Source organism: Homo sapiens, chromosome 1 (genome assembly GCF_000001405.40).
Source record: "Homo sapiens chromosome 1, GRCh38.p14 Primary Assembly".
Lineage (NCBI taxonomy): Eukaryota > Metazoa > Chordata > Mammalia > Primates > Hominidae > Homo > Homo sapiens.
Genome location: NC_000001.11, coordinates 29,272,764 through 29,293,677, shown reverse-complemented (window position 1 = coordinate 29,293,677; position 20,914 = coordinate 29,272,764). Strand labels below are relative to the sequence as shown.

The 20,914-nt window shown below is 52.0% G+C and overlaps 1 protein-coding gene across 4 annotated transcripts in view, besides 3 other annotated features; it reads right to left on the bottom strand.

Moving 5' to 3' along the window:
* PTPRU (protein tyrosine phosphatase receptor type U) overlaps window positions 1-20,914 on the bottom strand; it is a 90,279-nt gene that overhangs the window by 33,123 nt on the left and 36,242 nt on the right. For 3 of the 4 annotated variants that reach the window (NM_133177.4, NM_133178.4, NM_001195001.2), the window contains exons 8-15: window positions 17,922-18,230; window positions 14,557-14,666; window positions 14,021-14,222; window positions 13,537-13,639; window positions 10,729-11,002; window positions 9,702-9,738; window positions 8,809-8,947; window positions 1,652-1,809 (exon numbers count right to left, since the gene is read on the bottom strand). In NM_133177.4, the coding sequence (NP_573438.3) occupies window positions 1,652-1,809; window positions 8,809-8,947; window positions 9,702-9,738; window positions 10,729-11,002; window positions 13,537-13,639; window positions 14,021-14,222; window positions 14,557-14,666; window positions 17,922-18,230 (1,332 nt within the window). Of the gene's footprint in view, window positions 1-1,651; window positions 1,810-3,965; window positions 3,996-8,808; window positions 8,948-9,701; window positions 9,739-10,728; window positions 11,003-13,536; window positions 13,640-14,020; window positions 14,223-14,556; window positions 14,667-17,921; window positions 18,231-20,914 lie in introns of all 4 variants that reach the window. The other variant, NM_005704.5, reaches the window with a different exon arrangement.
* Window positions 2,301-2,803: an enhancer, noted in NCBI's record as "H3K4me1 hESC enhancer chr1:29617387-29617889 (GRCh37/hg19 assembly coordinates)". NCBI's record gives its function as "activates a minimal SCP1, AML or CMV promoter by ChIP-STARR-seq in naive H9 embryonic stem cells {active_cell/tissue: H9 hESC(naive)}" and the evidence as "EXISTENCE:reporter gene assay evidence [ECO:0000049][PMID:30033119]".
* Window positions 8,755-9,494: an enhancer, noted in NCBI's record as "H3K27ac-H3K4me1 hESC enhancer chr1:29610696-29611435 (GRCh37/hg19 assembly coordinates)". NCBI's record gives its function as "activates a minimal SCP1, AML or CMV promoter by ChIP-STARR-seq in primed H9 embryonic stem cells {active_cell/tissue: H9 hESC(primed)}" and the evidence as "EXISTENCE:reporter gene assay evidence [ECO:0000049][PMID:30033119]".
* Window positions 9,495-10,235: an enhancer, noted in NCBI's record as "H3K27ac-H3K4me1 hESC enhancer chr1:29609955-29610695 (GRCh37/hg19 assembly coordinates)". NCBI's record gives its function as "activates a minimal SCP1, AML or CMV promoter by ChIP-STARR-seq in primed H9 embryonic stem cells {active_cell/tissue: H9 hESC(primed)}" and the evidence as "EXISTENCE:reporter gene assay evidence [ECO:0000049][PMID:30033119]".

Here is a 20,914-nt window from a genome sequence, read left to right as displayed (position 1 = left end):
ACGGTGAAATCCCGTCTCTATTAAAAATACAAAAAATTAGCCGGGCGCAGTGGCGGGCGCCTGTAGTCCCAGCTACTAGGGAGACTGAGGCAGAAGAATGGCATGAATGCGGGAGGCGGAGCTTGCAGTGAGCGGAGATTGCGCCACTGCACTCCAGCCTGGGTGACAGAGGGAGACTCCGTCTCAAAAAAAAAAAAAACAAAAAACTACCCCCGAAAAAGGTAGGAAAATTATAAACACAAATTTCAAGGGAGGCTGGGCACAGTGACTCACGCCAGTAATCCCAACACTTTGGGAGGCTGAGGCGGACAGATCAATTGAGGTCAGGAGTTCGAGACCAGCGTGGCTAACAGCGTGGCTAACATGGTGAAACCCTGTCTCTACTAAAAATACAAAAACTGGCCAGGTGCGGTGGCTCACGCCTGTAATCCCAAGACTCTGGGAGGCCAAGGTGGGTGGATCACCTAAGGTCAGGAGTTCAAGACCAGCCTGGCCAACATGGTGAAACCCCATCTACTAAAAATACAAAAATTATCTGGGTGTGGTGGCGCACACCTGTAATCCCAGCTACTCAGGAGGCTGAGCCAGGAGAATTGCTCCAACCCTGGAGGCAGAGGTTACAGTGAGCCAAGATCACACCACTGCACTCCAGCCTGGGCAACAGAGTGAGACTCCATCTCAAAAAAACAAAAAAATTAGCCGGGTATGGTGGCAGGTGCCTGTAATCCCAGCTACTTGGGAGGTTAAGGCAGGAAAATTGTTTGAACCTGGGAGGCAGAGGTTACAGTGAGCCGAGATCATGCCACTGCACTCCAGCCTGGGTGATAGAGTGAGACTCCATCTCACAAAAAAAAAAAAAAAACACAACAATTTCAAGGGAATATTTACATCTAAGAAAGAGGTAGGGGATATAGCCAGGGAGGTGTACCAAGATAATGTTCTAATTCACCAATGAGGTTCATTGCTGTTTGTTGTATTGTTATGATTTTATGACTTTCATAAACATTACATATTCTCTTCTGTACAAATCAACACTAAACAGAATAAAAAGATGTGGGATGAAGCAAGTTATGACACAGACCTAGTACATAACGGCTGACTCACTATATTCTGTGAATACAAGCACAGCCCTAAGTGATTTTGCACACATTATCTCATTTAGTCTTCACATCGGCCCTACTAGCAGAGGCAATCTGCATTCCCATTTTATACACAAGGAAACAGACATCCAGAGGGCTTAAGTGACTTGCCCCAGGTCACACAGCTAAGAAAGGGAGAGGTAAGCCCAGGTCTGACTCTATATCGGTCTCTCTCAGCCACTGTATCCCCACCTCTCACATAACAGGTGCTCAATAAGGGGTGAGGCCACTCTGATCCCTCTGATCCTACAGCAGCACCTCCTCCTTGACGACTGTCACAATGGACCTTGCATTCCTCTTTTGCTAGCAGAATTCCTTGCAAGCTCCTCTAGTACACAATGCAAAAACGCCACCTGTGCTGGCTCTATATCCAGAAGGTATCCAGCAGGAGCACCACAGATGCTTCACTTTTGGTTGCAGGTGTTACAGAACTCACCTGATGTGGGGACCCTATTGTCTCAGGTTGGGAGCCCCAGAGCCATGAAGAAGGGGTAGGAGGGCCGGGCACTCACCCCGGGTGCTGTAGCCATGGGTGTCCATGAAGGACAGGCCCAGCCGCTCGTCCTCCTGCAGGGTGCTCTGGTCTGTGAAGCTGCGGTCCACGGCGCTCATCATGTGTGTCTTCTCCTGGCGGTAGTTGACGGTGGCCTTGGTCATGTTCACCGGCTTCCTGGAGAGGGGGGTTGAGGGGAGACACAGGCATTGTGTGGGGCTGGACAGCACCCAGAGGTGGCTGGGGAGGCCCTGGAGTAAGGGGACCTCAAGGCCAGGAGCCAGCAGCTGTCCTAGAAGCATCTCTGGATGCTGAGGGCTCTGCCCCCATCCTTCACTCATTAGACCCAGAGCTGCTTCTTCCCTGAAAAGGGCTTGGCAGAGCCCGTCCTAGGGACCTTTGCTAAGGGAAAGGGGTGGAGCAGCAGTGGCTTCAGGCTGGGATCTCACTCCTAAGTTTCACTGGCCCCCTGGGCTTAGGAAATGGGAAAGAAAGTCACTCCAGGGCTAATTTGGTGTCACAGCAGACAGCCCCCTCACCCCCACTGCACCCCAAACTAGGAAAATGGCTGGCCCAGCTCCAGGCCCAGCATGTCCCCACCTCTCTCCTCCCCGTGTTAAACAGGGACCACTCTCCAGACTCCTCCTTCTCCTGCAGGAAGGAGGGACTACACCCCTCCTTCCCCGCAGAGAGTCTAGCTTGTGCTCAGCCAGAGCTCGGGGGCTTCCCCCACGCACAGAATGAACTCCACCCTTGGCTTCTCCCTACTCCCAGTAGCACCTAGGATGGTCCCAGCATAGACCACCACAGACTTGTAAAGAGACCCACAGAAGGTCCAGATTCCCACCACTGCCCACCAGTCCGTCCTGCTGCTCAGAGCAGCAGGGAAGAGAAAGAGAGACCTCCTCTCCCTCCAGGCCCAGCTTCACGGATGAGGATGGCAGTTTGTGACTTCGAAGGAACTTGGAGGAAAGTGGGAGGGAGAAAAGGAGGTGGGGAGATAGGGCCATGGACAGAGGACAGCCAGCCAGCCTGGCTGAACATGGAGCCCAGAGAGGACCCGTCACTGAGCAGATGCTGGCCTAGAGGGTGGTCTCCAGGGGTGTGCCACAGGCTCTGTTCCCAGCCCAGGATTCCTGGCCTACCTGGAAGAAGAGCTACAGAAACAAACCAACCCGATCCCCAGAAGATGGAACCCGGGAGGGACACCTAATGCTGTTGGCATCCAGCTGAGCTCAATGTGAGATTAAGCAGATGGAATTTAATACAGATTCTTTGAGAAGTTCTGCATCTGGTTTTGAAAACTAACTGCGCAAGCAGCAGGGAGAGCTGCCTGTCCACAGCCCCTGCAGGAGCCGAGCTGGGGGCTCAGCGCGAGTCGCTGGGTGTTGAGTTGTTGGAAAAGCTCGTGTCAGGAAACACTAAGGTAAGGAGCTGTCCAGGGAGGAGGAGGTGAGAGACCCACTGTCCTCAGGGCTGGCCTGGCGCCCTCTGGGCCTGCACTTCGAGGGAGGGAAAACCAGCACAGGGGCAGGAGGAATGTTCCAGAAGGCTTGCAGAGTAGAAGACAGAGAGAGAAGACAGAGTAGCATCGGCAGGCTGTGGAGTCAGCAGGGGCCTGGGTTGTATCCCAGTTCCAGTGCATTTTGCAACCTCCCACAACTCCCTTGGTCTCTCTGAGCCTCAGTTTCCTCATCAGTAAAGTGGGAGTGATAAAAGCTCCTATTTCTCAGAGCTGTTGTGAGGACTCTGTCAAGAACTGAGCACAGGGCTTGGCCCAGAGGAGGCTCCCAGGAAATGGTGGGTCTGCAGAGCTGGGGCTGCCTGGCTGGAGAAGGGACTTGTAGGGGCCTGAGAGTTGCCTGTGCTGTGGGAGAAGCTGCCAGTCTCAGAACAGGTAGGCCCCACCCACATGCACACAAGCACACACATGCACATGGACGTGGGCTCCAGAGCGTGTCCTGAACGTGGATTTGGTTGGAGGTCAGGACATACTTCTAACCACGAGGAACAGTAGACGTAAGGGGCTGCTCTGGTGGTGAAGGGGACATTGAGGCTCAGGGACTTGCTGGGGGTGACTCAGCAGGGCCAGCTCTGAACCCATGCCTCTTAGGGGCAGAACCAGCACTCATGACCACGACTTGAGGAGGAAGATGCAGAGGGGAAGGACAGAGCAGAGGAAAGAAAGTCAGAGGCCGAGGTGACCAGAGAGAACCGGGTGGACACCAGGCCAGGCTGGGTGCAGCGAGACTAAGCCCAACCAGAGAAGGCGGGGACAGGGGATCTCCCCCTAGGCAGGGCCGGGGACTCCCAGGCAAGGTAGAGCTACTTACGGGTAGTAGGAGTAGGCATAGTGGTCTCTCCTGGCAGCGTGCAAAGAGAGAACAGCACAGTTGTGTCCGAGGTCCGTCCACCAAGGCCGGGCTGAGGCAATGCCCAGGCAGCAGGGTGGGGCCTGGGTACCTCCCGGGCTGGGGAGGGGGCTGGCCAGGGACTGAACAGGTCAGGAGGACCTCCCTGGTCAGGCTCAGATATTAATGACCAGGACCCAAGGCCCTTCTGAAACCTTCCCCAAGCCTACTGCAGGAGTGAGGAGGAGGTGGGAAAAGGACCTAGGGGGCCGCAGAGCTTTCACACAGTCATACACATATGCACACTCACACAGACACACATGTAGATATATGCTCACATACACACTCATACATGGAGAAACACATATCAACACCCACAAATGCAGACACACAGGTGCAGACATGCATACACATGTATTCAGACACACTTGACACACACTCACTTAGACATATATTCACAAACACACACACACACACATTAGACATCCCCTGACACACACAGACTCATACTCTCTAGGCTAACTGTGCTTACCAGGGCTGTTCTCATCCCCCACCCTCCCACCCTGCACGGCCCTCTGCCCATAAGGGGTCAGCCCTTTGCCTGCACCTCCACCTGGGTGGGGACAGAAAGGGGGCAGGATGGAGAGGACTCCAGATGTATGCCCAGGACACAACTAGGGCCCACCCTTACCTACCCTGCCTGCCCCTGGGTGTGGGATCCACTAAAGGAGCCAGGTCATCCCCTCTGGGAGCACCTGGGGCACAGCTTCCATCAAGAGCCCTACCTTACCGCAAAGCACCCACAGTGTAAAGCAGGTTGGATTCCCATTTCATAGGCGGGGAAGCTGAGTCAGGGAGCATGGGCTACCTGGGCCTCTCTGGGGGTCAGTGGCAGAGTCCAGAGCAAACACCTGCCCCAGGACCCTGGTCCTGGAACTTCCTCTGTGCTCCCCTCCCAGGCTCTCCAGAGGCCTCCATTCACTTGCCCCCACATCACCCTGTCAGCAGGGACCCCAAAGAATGGCCTTCCACAGGAAATCCTGCAGATGAAGGGGAGGAGAGCGGAAGACGGACCAGCAAAGGCAGGAGCTTGGCCCCAGGTCACAGAGCACATCTCCTCCATCCCAGGGAGAGAGGGGAGAGTCTAGGGCGCTGGGGCTGTTGCAGAGGCCCCACGAGGGAGGACACGGCTGAAGAAATGGCATTCTTCTGGCCTCAGTTGACACATTGTGCCTTCAAAAGGGCCTTCCCGGACCACTCTCCCACGAGTGCCAGCTACATGATGTCTCTTGTATTCTCTTTGCCCCCAACACCCAGCACCCTGTTCTTTTCACAATTTGCAATTATCTCTTCCATTTGTGCTTTTTCTAATTTCATGCCAGGCTCTCCACTGGCTACAAAGTACAGGAGGACAGAATCCTTGTCTTTTTGTCTCCCTCAGTTTCCCCAGGGCCCCACACATTGTAATCCCACAATAAATATTTTGTTGAATGGAGTAATCAATAAATGAGGAAAAATAAATAAAAGAACTTCACCTCCATGCGCTTCCACTTTCTTCTTTAAAAAGTGAGGTTAAGCCTGGGCATGGTGGCTCAGGTAGGCCTATAATCCCTGCATTTTGGGAGGCCGAGGCGGGTGGATCACCTGAGGTCGGGAGTTTGAGACCAGCCTGGCCAACATGATGATGCCCTGTCTCTACTAAAAATACAAAAAATTAGCCGAGTATGGTGGTGGGCGCCTGTAATCCCAGCTACTCAGGAGGCTGAGGCAGGAGAATCACTTGAACCCAGGAGGCAGAGGTTGCAGTGAGCCAAGACTGCATCACTGCACTCCAGCCTGGACAACAAGAGCAAAACTCTGTCTCAAAAAATACATACATACCCATCCTGGCTAACAAGGTGAAACCCCGTCTCTACTAAAAATAAAAAAAAAATTAGCTGGGCGTGGTGGTGGGCGCCTGTAGTCCCAGCTACTTGGAAGGCTGAGGCAGGAGAATGGCGTGAACCTGGGAGGCAGAGCTTGCAGTGAGCTGAGATCGCGCCACCGCACTCTAGCCTGGATGACAGAGCTTGAGTCCATTTAAAAAAAAAAAAAAAAAAAACATACATACACAGTGAGGTTAATAATAATCTCCCACAGGGACTGCTGTGAGGCCTCAGCACCGGGAAGCACCCAGCAGTGCCCACAAACCACTCCTCCCTACACCTCAGAGTGGGGAGACCCGACTCCCCTGGGCTAGACTGTGGAGATATAGACAAGACAGGGCTTTCTCTGCCCTTCATGGAGCTCTTAACCCAGGAGGGGAGGCAAGCATTGAGCAAAACACTACAAGTAAGTAAATGACAAAGTGCAGGGAGAAGAAAGTGCTGCCATGGAGAAGGGTGGGGTATGGGGACTTCTGGAAGCACAGCCAGGGGATCTGACCTGGCCTGGGGTCACCAGCCTCCCTTCCAGGCCCTGGAATTCCCCTACAGCAGATGCATCCAGTCTGATGGTCCACAGAGGCAGGGCAGGATGGAGAATCTGAAATCTTCTTCCAGCTGGCCTCTATTACCCATAATCCCCCTGGGACTCCCTCCTGGGGGCGTGGTAACTGCCCTCCTCAGCAACTTCCTACTCTTGTTAGTTATGTTGGCACCCCACGTTGATCTGAACACCCCCATCCCTGCCAGGGCTGCTGCATCCCATGATACCCACAATGCAGACTGCAAAAGCCCTGAGGAGCACGGAAGGCCCTGAAGGCCAGGCTCAGATCCAGGGGCATGCAGTGGGTACTACACAGTGAGACTGAATGGCTTTTAGAGGAAGTAAGGAGGTCCAGAGTGATGGGGGATGAGGGGTTCCTGGAGGCATCTGGGATAACTTGGGTTTATGGGGTAGCAAATACATAATGGAAGGTTTCCCAGTGAGGCCCTGACAACATTTCTGATCCAGCCTGTCCTGGGCCCAGTGCTCTCTTTGCAGGGCTCTCTTTGACACCCCTCACTCTGCCAATCCTCTTCTCCTTGAGGGTAGATTTCTAGGACCTCAAATACCACCTGAAACTGAAATCTGCCCCCTCCACTATAGCCCTCTCCAGCCCCAGCCCTACTTAAAGTCACTTCTCAGGCCCCCTGCTGGGGGAAAGTCAGGGGCTTGCCATTCTGGGGGCACTGCCTATGCACCAGACTCAGTGAGGCCTTCACATTTGTAGGCGAGCCTGAGTTGAAGTCAGGCCCTACTGCTCATCAGCCAAGTGGCCTGGGCAAGGTGCTTTCATTACAGTTTCTTCATCCAAAAAAAAGGGAGTCAGTCAAGATCCAAGAAGGAAATGTTCTCTGACGCATGCTGAGTGCAGAACAGTGCCTGGTACACAGTAGATGTCCAATAACTAATGTACTCATGGATGATGTGTGTGAAGCTCCTGGCACATAGTAATCCCTCATTAAATGATACTTTAAAATAGTCTCTCTTAAAGCTGTGCAGGAACAACGAGGGGAAAAATCAGAGTGTATCGCCCTGGCTGGGCCATCCCCCCCATCTCCTCCACTCCGCTGCACACTCCACCCCTAGACTCTCTCTCTCTTGCTGGTGTCTGGCCTCAGGCAAGGTGGCCCCAGCCAGCTCTCTCTCTCATCTTCCTGGATCCTATTATCCGCTCCTGGCAGCCCAGAGATACAACCAACTCATCCATGTATGCCCAGCCTGGCAGCAGTAGGGGCTATAGAAGCCAGAGCCCAGGTGGGGAAGGGTGGAGCTGGCTCTGCCTCTGGCTCTCCGGGTAGCCTTGGGCAGCCCTGCGTGCCCTCTAGGCCTCAACATCCCCATCCCTCATTTAAGGCGCTTGGACCACAGTGTCCCACGGCTGCCTGGTGGGGAACATGGTGGGGCAGAGCTGGCAAACAGAAAAGTCCCAGAAGCCCCCACTCAGCTTCCGACCAGCACTGCTGCTCAGCCTTCATCTGCTCCATTTTACTAGGCTCCCAGGGAAGGGTTTTCTGGTGTTTTGAAGGCAGGTTCTGTTTCTTTAAAAAGATTTGAAAACCACTAGACTAGATGGCCTTGAACTACCTGGCAGCTCTTACGTTCTGGGGCTCTGAGCCTCTACAATTCTAAAGCCTAAGATTCCTAGAGTCCTAAATCCTACATTTCTGAAACTGCAAGATTCTAGGTTCTGGATTCCACAATGTCCTGGGATATATGCTGCCCTCTGCAAATCCGCTAGGAAACACATTTCATGCAAACACAGGCTGGACCTTTGAGACACGAGGGATAGTAGGGGCGGCAGGGGGAGGGGTTTATCAGTCACAGGCCCAGGAGGGCTCCTCAAGGATCCACAGGAACAGGGTCCAGGGCAAGTTGAGCCTGAGAGAAGGTGGATCCCGGGAAGAGCCATGGCTCAGGGCCCTTGGTTTAAAGAGGAGTGAGCTCCATCCTCTGCTCAGGTCAACTGCACAATCCCATAAGCAGGGCAGACACCTTGGCTGAAGGTCTGCAGGAGGGTAGGGGTTCAAAGCCAGGTCACCTCTATGCCCTCCCTATTGAAACAGTCCCAGCAGGCATAGCTCCTTGGCACCAGGCACTGAGCACCCCTCCCTGGATGGCAGCACCTGGCACCAGCCAGAACTGTACTCCAGCCATGCCACTCCAGGGCAGCCCCATCTTCCCAGTCTCTGGCTTCCCACCACCCAGCTCAGATCCATCTGTAGAGGCGATGCCCAGGCTGGCAGCCCTCCACACACCTGCAGGACAGCTGCCCTACCAGCTCTTAGCCACTATTCCTCTGTGCCACCAGGCCTCTAAGGGGTAGAAGCCACTGGTGGGACAGGGCACCGGCCTCACTCACCCTTTGCGGATGATGACAATGATGGCACCCAGGAGAAGGATGAGGACAGCAAGCCCCCCTGCACAGATGCCCAGGATAAGCCCCATCTCCTCCGATCTCTGGGACACCTCCAGGGGCCGCTTGCTTTCCTTGCAGGCAGCTGGGGAGAACAAAGCAGAACAAGGGATCAGAGGAAAGACAGGGACCATCGAGCCCCTCCTGTAGGTGGCTGTGCCCAAGGAACAAACTGGGCTGCACAAACCGCCCTACATCCTCAATGTGTGTCCTGCCTTTTGAGCAAATCTACCTCCTCACCATCCCTGATACCTTCTGCACTTCCACGCCACAGTCCTCACTGATATGGCTCCTTTGCCAGGAATAGCTTCCCTCGCTTCCCACTTTCTCAGATCCTCCCAGCTCTCAGTGGATAGGGGAGAGCAGACACCTGGGCTTCAGCCCCACCCTCTTGCCCTCCTGGGAGGTAACAGGGATTAGGAATTGTGTACCTAGGGCATGGTTAGTCCATCTCAGGATGGGAAACCAACCACATTCCCTGTCTGGAAGCAGGAAAGATACCTATAGCACAGGGCCCATGCTGACCTCACCTTCTCCCCCACCACAGGAAAGCCGGACAGATACGTAACCCAGAACCAGCACCCTGTACCCATCACCCCCAAGGCCCAACTATAATGGCTCCTCTCCACAAGCCTGCTCCAGGCCCCTGCTGTCACCCTGGGAGAAGGCGCCCTTGAGGTAGGGCACATGGAAACCCAGCAGGAAGCCCCTCCTGGCCCCAGGACTGCCCAACCACCCTCCTCTACTCCCACAGCCGTAGGTCCTCAGGATCCACCTCCCCAGCGCTGGGCAGGTGAGAAACCTGCCGCTGAAAGGCTGCAGGAACTCAGCGGACTTACCTTTCCTGGCAATGCGGATGCAATTCAGCCGGGTCTCCTGGAGGCACAGATGGGGGTCTCAGCGTTGCTGAAGCCCCGACCTCTCCCTCCCCAGGGTGGGAACCTCAGACAGCGTTTCTTGGGCCTGTTCAGGGCTTTGTCTTGTGCTGATGGCATCAAGGGACACCCCACCCGAAGGCAGGCCTGGGGGGACCCTTGAGAGCGGGGCCTAGAGGGGAGGCACCTGCAGTGCCTTAGGAAAGGGGGATGAGATCGGAGGCAAAAGAGAAACAAACGTCTTGGGGAAATGGGCGGGGCCTCGGGCATCGGGGCGAGGCCTAGGGCCAGAGGTCCAGCTAGGAAGTCAGAAACCAGGCAAGAAACCAGGCAAGAAGCAGAGGAGGGAGGAGCCTGGAGGATAAGGTGGGGCTTCAGGGAGGAGGCGGGTCCTAGGCCTTAACACAGGAACGCTGGAATCTGAGATGGACTCCTCTGGGAAGAGAAGCATCTAAGATAGAAGGCAGGGCCTCAGGAAGGGGCAGAGACTAGACTGGGGACCTGGATAGAAAGGAGGAGCCTGAGAAAGAAGGCTCAGGAAGGGGGTAGTGCTCTGTGGGAAGGAGCCTGGGGTCAGGAGGGCTGGCTATGGGAGGGGTGGGACCATGGGGGAGGGGCTATGGGAGAAGGGACTATGGGACGGACTCTGGGAGGTGGGGCTGTGGGAGGCGGGGCCGTGGGGGTGGCTCTATGGGAGGTAAGGCTATTGGAGGTGGGGCAATGGGAGGTGGGCAAAAGGAGGCAGGGCTATGGGAGGGGCAAGGTTATGGGGGAGGAACTGTGGGGCCAGGGCTATGGGAGGTGGGGCTACAGGAGGTAGGGCTATGGGGGTGGGCTGTAGGAGGAGGAGCTATGGGAGGTGGGGCTATGGGAGGTGGGGCTATGGGAAGTGCCGGGCCTGGAGTCTGCGCTGGGCCTGCTCCAAGGTATCTCCTGTCTGCCATCCCCCCACACCCAACCACGCCCACCATGACCCTGGCCGGTCCCTCACCCCCTTCAGGTGGCTTGCTGCCTGGAAGTAGATGAGATAGGCCTTCCTAGGCTCAAGTGGTGGGTTCCAGAAGCCTCGGTAGGTCTGGTTGTCACCCACGGTAAAGGGCATGGCCTCAGGTAGACTGCTGGCCGCCAGTTCGGCCCCGAAGTAGTGCACCAGGCCTCGGGCCAGCGCCGCCTCGAAGGTCAATGGCACTGGGAAGCAGTCCTGTCCACCTGGCTCCCGCCGCAGCCTCCGCGCCCGCTCCTCCTCCACAATCACCTGGTACACACTGGACAGGGAGGAGAGCGTACAGGGGATCACAGGCGGCCAGAGGACTGGGAGAGCCAGCTGGCAGTTAAAGGCATGGGCTTTGTGGTCAAGCCCTCCTGGGGACTAACTTCCACACACTGCTCCTTACTAGCTGGGCAAGTCCCCTAACCTCCCTGGGCCTCGGTTTCTTCCTCCATAAAATGGGAGTAATTGCAAGACTGTTCAGAAGATAGATGGGAAGAACAGGCAAGTTAAGCAAGCAGCCAGCACCTGTCAGCGGTTATTCCTGTTACTAATCCAGGCTAAGAGGATCGTGGACCCTGCTCAATATAACCAAGCCATAAGGCCCCAGCCTGCTTCCTCCATGAGTCCTCCTGTGTGTGTGACACAAGACCTGGGAAACCAAAGCTACTGAAAGCTCCCTTCTGGGACTCAGTAAATGACAGGGTTAGCCAGATTCATTCATTCATTCATTCATTCATTCAGAAAGAGATGACTGAGCTCAGACTATGAGCCCTGTGCTATACACTAGGCAACTGGGCTTCCTAAAACTGACCTCTAGTGAGAGACAGTGATTTAGCAAACAAGGACACCCAACACTATGTCTCTAGCACCCTCCCAATGCCAAGGCAGCCTCTGATCAGCAAATCGGAGCCCTGCTGTTTCAGGATCCTGACTGCCCACTCTGGTTCGTGCTCCCTGGTCCCAGCTGTGTTTCTATTTTATCTCTTTACTAAATAGGTTTCTGCTATGAGCTCCTCCAAATCCTCTGCAGAACAAAGTGGAGAGTAAATAAGTGAATCCTGACAAATTTAAATATTTCCAGTTACAGTCTCGGTCACGTCTTGGCGTGTGACATCCCATACTGACAGCCTCTCCTTGGGGAAGCAGAAATGCCTTTTCCTTGCTCACCAGATGTTTCTTTGGAGCATCCAAGTTGTGGGGAATCATCCCAGAGTGTTGGACACCAGCCCATGGCTTGTCACTAGCCCATTATAAACACCAGTCCAAGCCCCTTTCAGCCTCCATTGCCCCAGGCTAAGGTCAGGCCTCTCCTAGCCCTAAATCCCACCAGGAGGTAATCATTAACATTAGCCATGAACAAAGTGCATCTTAATCTAGAATAATCCCCATTGTGCAGATAAAGAAACGGAGGCTCAGGAAGGTAACGGGACATGCCCAGGGTCATGCAGCCATCTTGCCGCTCCCCTCCCACCAAGCCTGCCCCCACCTAGCCTTGCAATCATCATCCTGAGGGACCCTGACCAGTGCTGCTCACAGGATCCCTCAAGAGGACAAGAAAGAAAGGGTTCCCAACCCATCCCAGACTCAGTGGCATAAGGGCCCTGAGGCTCTAGCAACAGGCAAAAGGCCCTGCAGACCCCGTGACTTTTTCCTGGGTCTTCCCTGAGGGTCTGGGAATCAGCCCAGGGCAGGATTTGCAGTGGCAAATACAGGGAAGACAAAGCAGAAGAGGAGAGGATACAGTGGGGAGTGAGGAGGTGAGGGACTGCCATGGTCACCCAGGCAGCCCACTCTCTTCCTAGGGAACTGACTAGGACCCTCACACCCCCCCCACCTAAAGGCTGTCACCCTCTCCCAGAGCATGTACCTTCGTGGAAGGAAGGGGTGGACCAGAAGGGCAGGGAGGCTCTATAACTTCTAGAAAAGGTACAGGCACAGCAGATAGACCTGGCTTCCAAATCCCAGCTCCACCACTTACTAGCTGTGTGGCCTTGAGGGCAAGTGATTCAGGCTCTGAGTCAGTTTCCCGATATGTAAAATGAAGGTAATAATACCCATGCCACAGGGCTGCCATGAGGATAAATGGCTTCATGCAGATAAAGCCCCTAGCACGGGGTCTGGCTAACAGTACGTGCACACAGTTGCACAAACACCCTCACACTCTCACACACATGCACACTTATGTCTCCCATATACGCCTCTCACACACACTCACACCACACATCCCATGTCTTTATCACAAAGACACACCCAGTTTCACATCCCACATACACACACACACACACACACACACACACACAGTCTTGTCTCCAGCACCCTCTCCCCAGCAGAGGCAGCCACCACGGCACCAGCAAGCCCAGCTTCCTCTGGGGAGAGGAGGTGGAGAAGCCAAGCTCCTAGCCATTCCAGAGAGATGGCCCTATCTGGCTGGCTGCCCCAGCCTTCTAGAAAGCCCATCTCTGTGCTTCCAGGAAAAGGCTGGGATGATATAAGGCCCCCAGAGTTTCACTTCTCCAAGGTGTCTGAGGAAAGGCCCCCTGGACAGGCCTGGACAGTCCCCTCTCCAGGCTGGACCTATCCAGGGTCCTCCTGACAGTCACCATCTGAGACCCATGGCCTCAGAGGGGAGGGACTGCAGGCTTCTTGCCTGCCAAGCATCACAGAACAATCTCCTCCAGACACTCCAAGCCCTGCGTGGGAGACTGAGGGAGGAAAAGGGTGAGCTGGCCTGGGATGGGGCTCTGGGTCAGAGGAGGGGCCTCTTTCCTAAGGCCCTGGACTCCCACCCCTCCGTCCCCGCTTTCCCACCTGATGGGCGCACCGCGGCCCTGTGCCGGCCTCAGCAGCACGGTGATGGTGTTCTCAGACTCGCCCAGGGGTGACGGCATGTCGGCATAATCAAAGCTGGGAGCTGGAGAAGGGGACAGGGTCACAAGCTGGAGCTTGGCCACTGGACCAGGAAGACCAGGCTTCCAGCCTCCTTGACCACAGTCCTCAGATCTCCCCTACTTCAGCCTTAGCCTCTTTGTTCCTGCTGACATGACCTGAGCTACCCTGGCCCCTGACCTCAGGCACCAGCCCCAACCTCAATCTTCTGATTCCACTGACCAGTCTCCTGACTCCTCTGACTTCATCCTCCCTGAGCCTGACTTTAACTCCTAAATGGCATATTTATCTCAGCAGGGGCCCTCTGTAACTACCCCCAGGATGCCCCCCATTTCCCTTCTGCCCATGGAACCCTGGGATTCTGGGCCACCTCCGAAGAGGCTGGGCCGGGTCAGGTGGGGCTCACCAGAGATGTTAGTGGTTATCTCAGTGAGTGCCGCCTGGCCGAAGCCTTTGCCTGTGCGGGCCCGCACGGAGAACAGGTAGGTGGTGCCTGGGTGCAGGTTGGAGAAGACATGGTAGGTCTCATTGCGGAGCTTGGAGATGGTACGTCGTGGGCCTGGCACGTTCACTGCCGGGTCTGATGACTCGATGCTCTGGTAGCTGATCTGGGGGCAGGATTGGCAGGCAGGTGGGCACTGGATGGTCAGAGCATCCCTGACCAGCAGCCTCCACCCACCATGTCCCAGGGAAGTGAGAGATAAGGCTAAGCAAAGGAGACTATGGATGCCATCAAGCCAGGCTTCTAGTCATCTTCGGCTCTCCCTCCTGCCTTCAGGACCCTCCTCTAGAATACACAGGGCACAGACCTGGCCATAGTTGAAGAAACTATGACAATCACATCTGTCCTCCCATGCACCTCCTACTGTAGCAGCAGAGAGAAAGAGGGCCACCTCTCACCTTCCACCAGGGTCCCCCACTGTAATAGGGTCCCAAACCCACCTCATACTGGGTGATGAGACCATTGGGCTCCTGGGGCTCCTCCCACTTGAGGAAGATCATGTCCTCCAGTGGAGTGAAGGTCAGGGACTCGGCTGCAATCCCACTGGGCACTGCAAGGGAAAGGCAGCAGGGGCCAGGGGAAAGTGGGCTTTGGTGCCAGACACCTGGGTTTAAATTCCAGCCTTGCCGCTTCCTACCTGGTTCTCATGGACTATTCAGCCTCTCTGCACCTTACTTAACTCAGCTGTGAAGTGGGAATGATATAACCCCTCTCAAGCCAGGACTCAAATGATGTGATGTACATAAAGCCCCAAGGCAAACATCAGCAATTGCATATGGTTCAACCTATTACTAAGTACTCAAAATGGATAGCTGGCATTTTCATTACTGTGTAGGTTGCATTCAGGAGAGAAATACGTTTGAAGGCTCCAATTTTGTTCCAGTTGGGTAGTTTTCAGAAAATATGCACATGGGCCAGAGAAATGAAAACAGCAATTGCATTGCGGTATTGGGATTATGGGTGGCGATATTTTCTCGTCTAAAAATTTCTAATTACATAAATGACATGTTCAATGTAGAAAATCAAAATGAGCTTAAAGAAAATTAATGGCATCTACAATTGTATCACCCAGAGATACTGTTAACATTTTAGCATTAACACTTGCAGGCATGGCTTTGTTTTGTTTTTCTTGTGTAAATGTATACTGTTAATGGCAGGCACAGGAGTGTCATTTAGGAAGAGAATGATCTTTGCTTGGGAAAATACCTTGATAAACCACTATGGGGAAGCTGAAGTCCTAAGGCAGAGAAAAGCAGAAAGTAAAGAAGGAGCTGAATTTTGAATCTAGGCCAATGCTGTGCAGAACAGAAAACTGTGCACGTGCGGCAGCAAGACAAAGCCATAAACCAAGGAGCTTAGTGGTAACTGGAATCTGTAGGAACCCAGGGAAAGGCTTTGGACCTGTGATAGCATTCGAGTGTAGCTCTTAAGAAGGACAACTGGCTGGGCACGGTGGCTCACGCATGTAATCCCAGCACCTTTGGGAGGCCGAGGCAGGCGGATCACTTGAGGTCAGGAGTTCGAGACCAGCCTGGCCAACATGGTGAAACCCCCATCTCTACCAAAAATACAAAAAATTAGCCGGCGTAGTGGTAGGTGCCTATAATCCCAGTTACTCGACAGGCTGAGGTGGGAGAATCGCTGGAACCAGGAAGGCAGAGGTTGCAGTGAGTTGAGATTGCACCACTGCTCTCCAGCCTGGGCAACAGAACAAGACTCCATCTCAAAAAAAAAAAAAAAAAAAAAAAAAAAAAAAAAGAATGACAACTGTGAAGCCAGATGGTCAGGTTAGAAAGCCAGGCTTTCTGTGACTTCTTCTGTAAAATGGGAATAGAAATAAAATGGGAATAGAAATAGTAACCTACCACATAGGGTTGTCATGGGTATTAAATGCAGTAATATATCAAAACCATTCAGAATGGTGCTTGAATGTGCTAAGGGCTAAATATTAGTTTGACATATGTAGAACACTGCATTCAACAGCAACAGAATACATGTTCTTTTCAAATACACTGGAACATTTACCAAAATTTAACAATATGTTGGGCCATAAAGTAAAGATGAAATTTCACAAAATAAAATTTAGAGTATATACTCTGACTACAGTGGAATTAACCTAGAAATCAATAATAAAAAGACAATTAGAAAAGTCCCAATTGCTGGCCAGGTGCAGTGGCTCATGCCTATAATCTCCGCACTTTGCAGGGCCAAGGTGGGCAGATCACCTGAGGTCAGGAGTTCGAGACCAGCCTGGCCAACATGATGAAACCCTGTCTCTACTAAAAATACAAAAATTAGCCAGGCGTGGTGGCGGGCACCTGAAATCCCAGCTACTCAGGAGGCTGAGGCATGAGAATCACTTGAACCCAGAAGGCGGAGTTTGCAGTGAGCCGAGATTGTGCCACTGCACTCCAGCCTGGGTGACAGAGTGAAACTGTGTCTCAAAAACAAACAAAAAAGAAAAGTCCCAATTGCTTAGAAATTAAGCAACATAATTCTAAGTAACTCTTAGGTCAAAGCAGAAATTATAACAGAAATAACAGTTCAATTGTATAGACAACAAATTGAACTGAATGATAATGAAGATAGGAAATATCAAAACTTGTGGGACACAGCTAAAGCAGGACTTAGAGGAAAATGTGTAGCTTTAAACACGTATATTAGAAATGAAGAAGGGCTCAGTATTAATGATCTAAGAAACTTCTATCTCAAAAGGCAAACAGAACAGCAAATCAACTCCAAAGAAAGTATAACAAAGGAAATAAAAAATAGAAAATAAAGAAAATCAAGTAAGCCAACAGTTGGTTCTTTGGAAAGATTAATTTATACAGTCTTCACAAGGGTAAACAAGAAAAAAGAAAACAGAAATTACCAATATCAGAAATGAAAAAGATGATATCACTATAGAGCCTATGGACATTAAATAAATATAATAAAAGAATATTGGCAAATGAAGTGGCTCATGCCTGTAATCCCAGCACTTTTGGAGGCCAAGGTGGGTGGATCACTTGAGCCCAGGAGTTCGAGACCAGCCTGGGCAACATGGCAAAACCCCGTCTCTACAAAAAATACAAAAAAATTAGCCAGGCATGGCAGTGCACGTCTATAGTCCCAGCTACTTGGGAGGCTGAGGTAGAGTGATCATTTGAGCCTGGGAGGTCGAGGCTGCAGTGAGCCATAATCATGACACTGCACTCCCACCTGGACAAAAGTGTGAGTCCCTGCCTCAAAAATAAATAAACTAGCTTGGCGTGGTGGTGCATGCCTGTAGTCCCAGCTCAGGAGGCTGAGGTGGGAGGATCGCTTGAGCCTGGGAGGAGGAGGCTGCAGCAAACTGAGATGGTGCCACTGTACTCCAGCCTGGGCAACAGAGCAAGACTCTGTCTCTAAATAAATAAAAAAAATTATAAACAACATTATCTCAAGAAATTTGACAATTTAGGTGTAATGAACAAATTCCTTAAAAAATACAGTCCATCTAAACTGATACAAGAATAAAAAAATCTGAATATCCCAATATCTATTTTAAAAACTAAAATTTACTAAAAACCTTGCCACAAAGAAAACTCTATGCCCAAATGGCTTCACTGCTGAATTCTTTCAAACACTTAAGGAAAGAAATTAGACCAATCTAACCCAAAGTCTTCCAGAGAAAAAATAGGAGCTATCACTACTTTGGTGTTATACAGTTGGTTTAATCCTAAGCAAAAAAAAGAAAAAAATACCCTCAGTAAATTTCAGTCTCAGACATGGCGTATCTGTGGGAGGTACACAGGGCCCCGGGAATTGGGACTGAGACTCTTACCATCCTCATCCGTCTGGAAAGTGACCTCCTTGCCCTCTTTGCGCCCCTCAGGGTTAGTGAGGACAAGCCTCACGTGAACGTTCCGATAGGGCAGCAGGTTCTTGATGGTGTAGCGGCTGACACCTTGCTCTGTCTTCACACACTCTCGGATGGTCTGGTTGTGGCTGCTGCCCAGGGTGTAGTGATAGCACAGCGACACAGTATAGGTGTGGCAACGCGTCACGTTGTAGCCCAGTGGTTCCCACTGCAGGGTCAGCTGACGGGCCTGGATCTCAGCAAAAGCCAGGCCTTTGGGGGCCCTCATGGGCTCTGGAGAATGCAGGAAGCAGAGAGAAGAAGTTAGAAGAAATGGGAAGAGAAGAGGAAGAAGAACAGGGAGAGAAAGCATCAGTCAGCTGCCTGAAATCATCCCTCCATTGCCCCCAAGAGCTCAGGGGACCCCTAGAACATCAAACAGGGAGTAAAAGTATGTGCTTTGGAGTCAGGCGGACTACATTTGAATCCTGGCTCTGCCACTTGCAGCTGGCAACTGCTGGCTGAATCACTTCACCCCTCTGATCCTTAGATTCCTCAACTGCAAAATGAAAAGATAATAGGCCCTGCCTCATAGGATCATTGTAAGGTTTAAGGAAATACACACAAAGGATGCATGACAATGGCTAATATACAATAAGCCCTCAAAAATATTAGCTTTTTTTTTTTTTTTTTTGACAGAGGCTCACTCTGTCACCCAGGAGGGAGTGCAATGGCATGATCTAGGCTCACTGCAACCTCTGCCTCCCAGGTTCAAGCAATCCTTCCACCTCAGACTCCCAAGTAGCTGGGATTACAGGCGTACACCACCACGCCTGGCTAATTTTTGTATTTTTGGTAGAGATAGCGTTTCACATGTTGGCCAGGCTGGTCTTGAACTCCTGACCTCAAGTGATCCACCCACCTCAGCCTCCCAAAGTGCTTGGGTTACAGGTGTGAGCCACCGCACCCGGCCAATAATTTATTTTTAATAGCACAGTTCACCTCCTAATTCAAGATCACCCTGGACTACAACAGGCCAGTCTGAATCAAACTGTTGATATATTTTTCTTAAGGTATTAATTCCAAACTTGTTCTGAAACAATGTATAGTAATACATATAATATAATAACATACAGAAATCAGGGTAATGAGGGAAATGAGAGCCAAATAGTTAAATAAAGCCAGAGAATGACAGGGAAACAGAAACAGAAATACATGACATTAGGTCCTATGTGGAGGTCTAAAGATAAGGTTCAAATTCAGTGGTGGGTTCCCTGGCTGTCAAAGCAAAAAGGGAAACACAATCTATTATATAATGATAATGATAATAAAGGCAGTTAACATGTATTGGGGGTTTTGGATAGGCTGGGCATTGTTCTCGAGTCTTTAAAATGCTTTATCTCGACCAGGCGTGGTGGCTCATGCCTATAATCCCAGCACTTTGGGAGGCCGAGGCAGGCGGATCACAAGGTCAGGAGTTCAAGCCCAGCCTGGCCAATATGGTGAAGCCCCGTCTCTATTAAAAAAAGAAAAATACAAAAAAATTAGCCAGGCGTGGTGGCGCAAGCCTGTGGTCCCAGCTGCTTGGGAGGCTGAGGCAGAGGAGTCTCTTGAACCTGGGAGGCAGAGGTTGCGGTAAGCTGAGATTGTGCCACTGCACTCTAGCCTGGGCAACAGAGCGAGACTCCGTCCCAAAAAAAACAAAAAATGCTTTATCTCATTTAATCCTTGTAATCTAGTGAGACAAGTGCTATTATTAGCCCTATCATACAGATATGAAAACAATGGCACAGAGAAATTCAGTAACTTGCCCACAGTCACAGAGATGGTAAGTGGTGAAGCTGGGATCCAAACCTGGTCAGGCTGGCTCCGAAATCCATGCTCTTAACCACCACTCCCCACCTCCCCAATAGGAATTCACTGATGCCTCAGGAGAGAGCGAGCTACCCCAGCAGAAGGGAGGTGCATGTTATGTTTTACGGTTTCTTGATGACTCTATGGACCAGAATGCTATCCCCATCTTATAAATAAAGAAACTGGGCTGGGCACAGTGGCTCATGCCTGTAATCCCAACACTTTGGGAGGCCCAGGCAGGAGAATCGCTGGAGCCCAGGAGTTTGAGACCAGCCTGGGCAACACAACAAGACACAATCTCTACAAAAAATAAAAAGTTGGCCAGGCGTGGTGGCTCACACCTGTAATCCCAGCACTTTGGAAAGCCAAGGCAGGTGGATCACCTGAGGTCAGGAGTTTGAGACCAGCCTGGCCAACATGGAGAAGACCCATCTCTACTAAAAGCGCAAAAATAAGCCGGGCATGGTGGCACATGCCTGTGGTCCCAGCTACTCAGGGAGCTGAAGCAGGAGTATTGCTTAAACCTGGGAGGTTGAGGCTGCAGTGAGCCATGATCGCACCACTGCACTCCAGCCTGGGCGACACAGTGAGACGCTGTCTCGAAAAAAAAGAATAGAAAAGAAAAGTCAAGGCTTCTGAAGCAAAGGCAAGATGGAGCCCAGGACTCAGCCCTTAGTCCTGCATCTGCATTGACCAGCTGTGTGATCTTGGGCAAATCTCTGGGCCTCAATTTCTGGATCAGTAAAATGAGGGAAGACACCAAGACTGCATCAACTGATCCTTTTCTCTCTTACACTCTGATTCCATGAAGTATAGTTTCATTACTCTCAAGTTCTGTGATCGCCTGCAAAGTGTCCCCAGCTAGAGGGACCTCAGCATCCCTTAATGAACAGGTGAGAAAGCACCGCTATACAATCTCTTAAGAAGATTAAGTACAACCCCTAGGAGCATTTTTTTTTCTTTTTTTTTTTTTTTTTTTTTGAGACAAGGTCTTGCTCTGTCATCCAAGCTGGAGTGCAGTGGCAGGATCTCGGCTCACTGCAGCCTTGATCTCCCCGGCTCAAGTGATCCTCCTGCCTCAGTCCCCCAAGTAGCTGGCACTACAGGTGCGTACCACCAAGCCC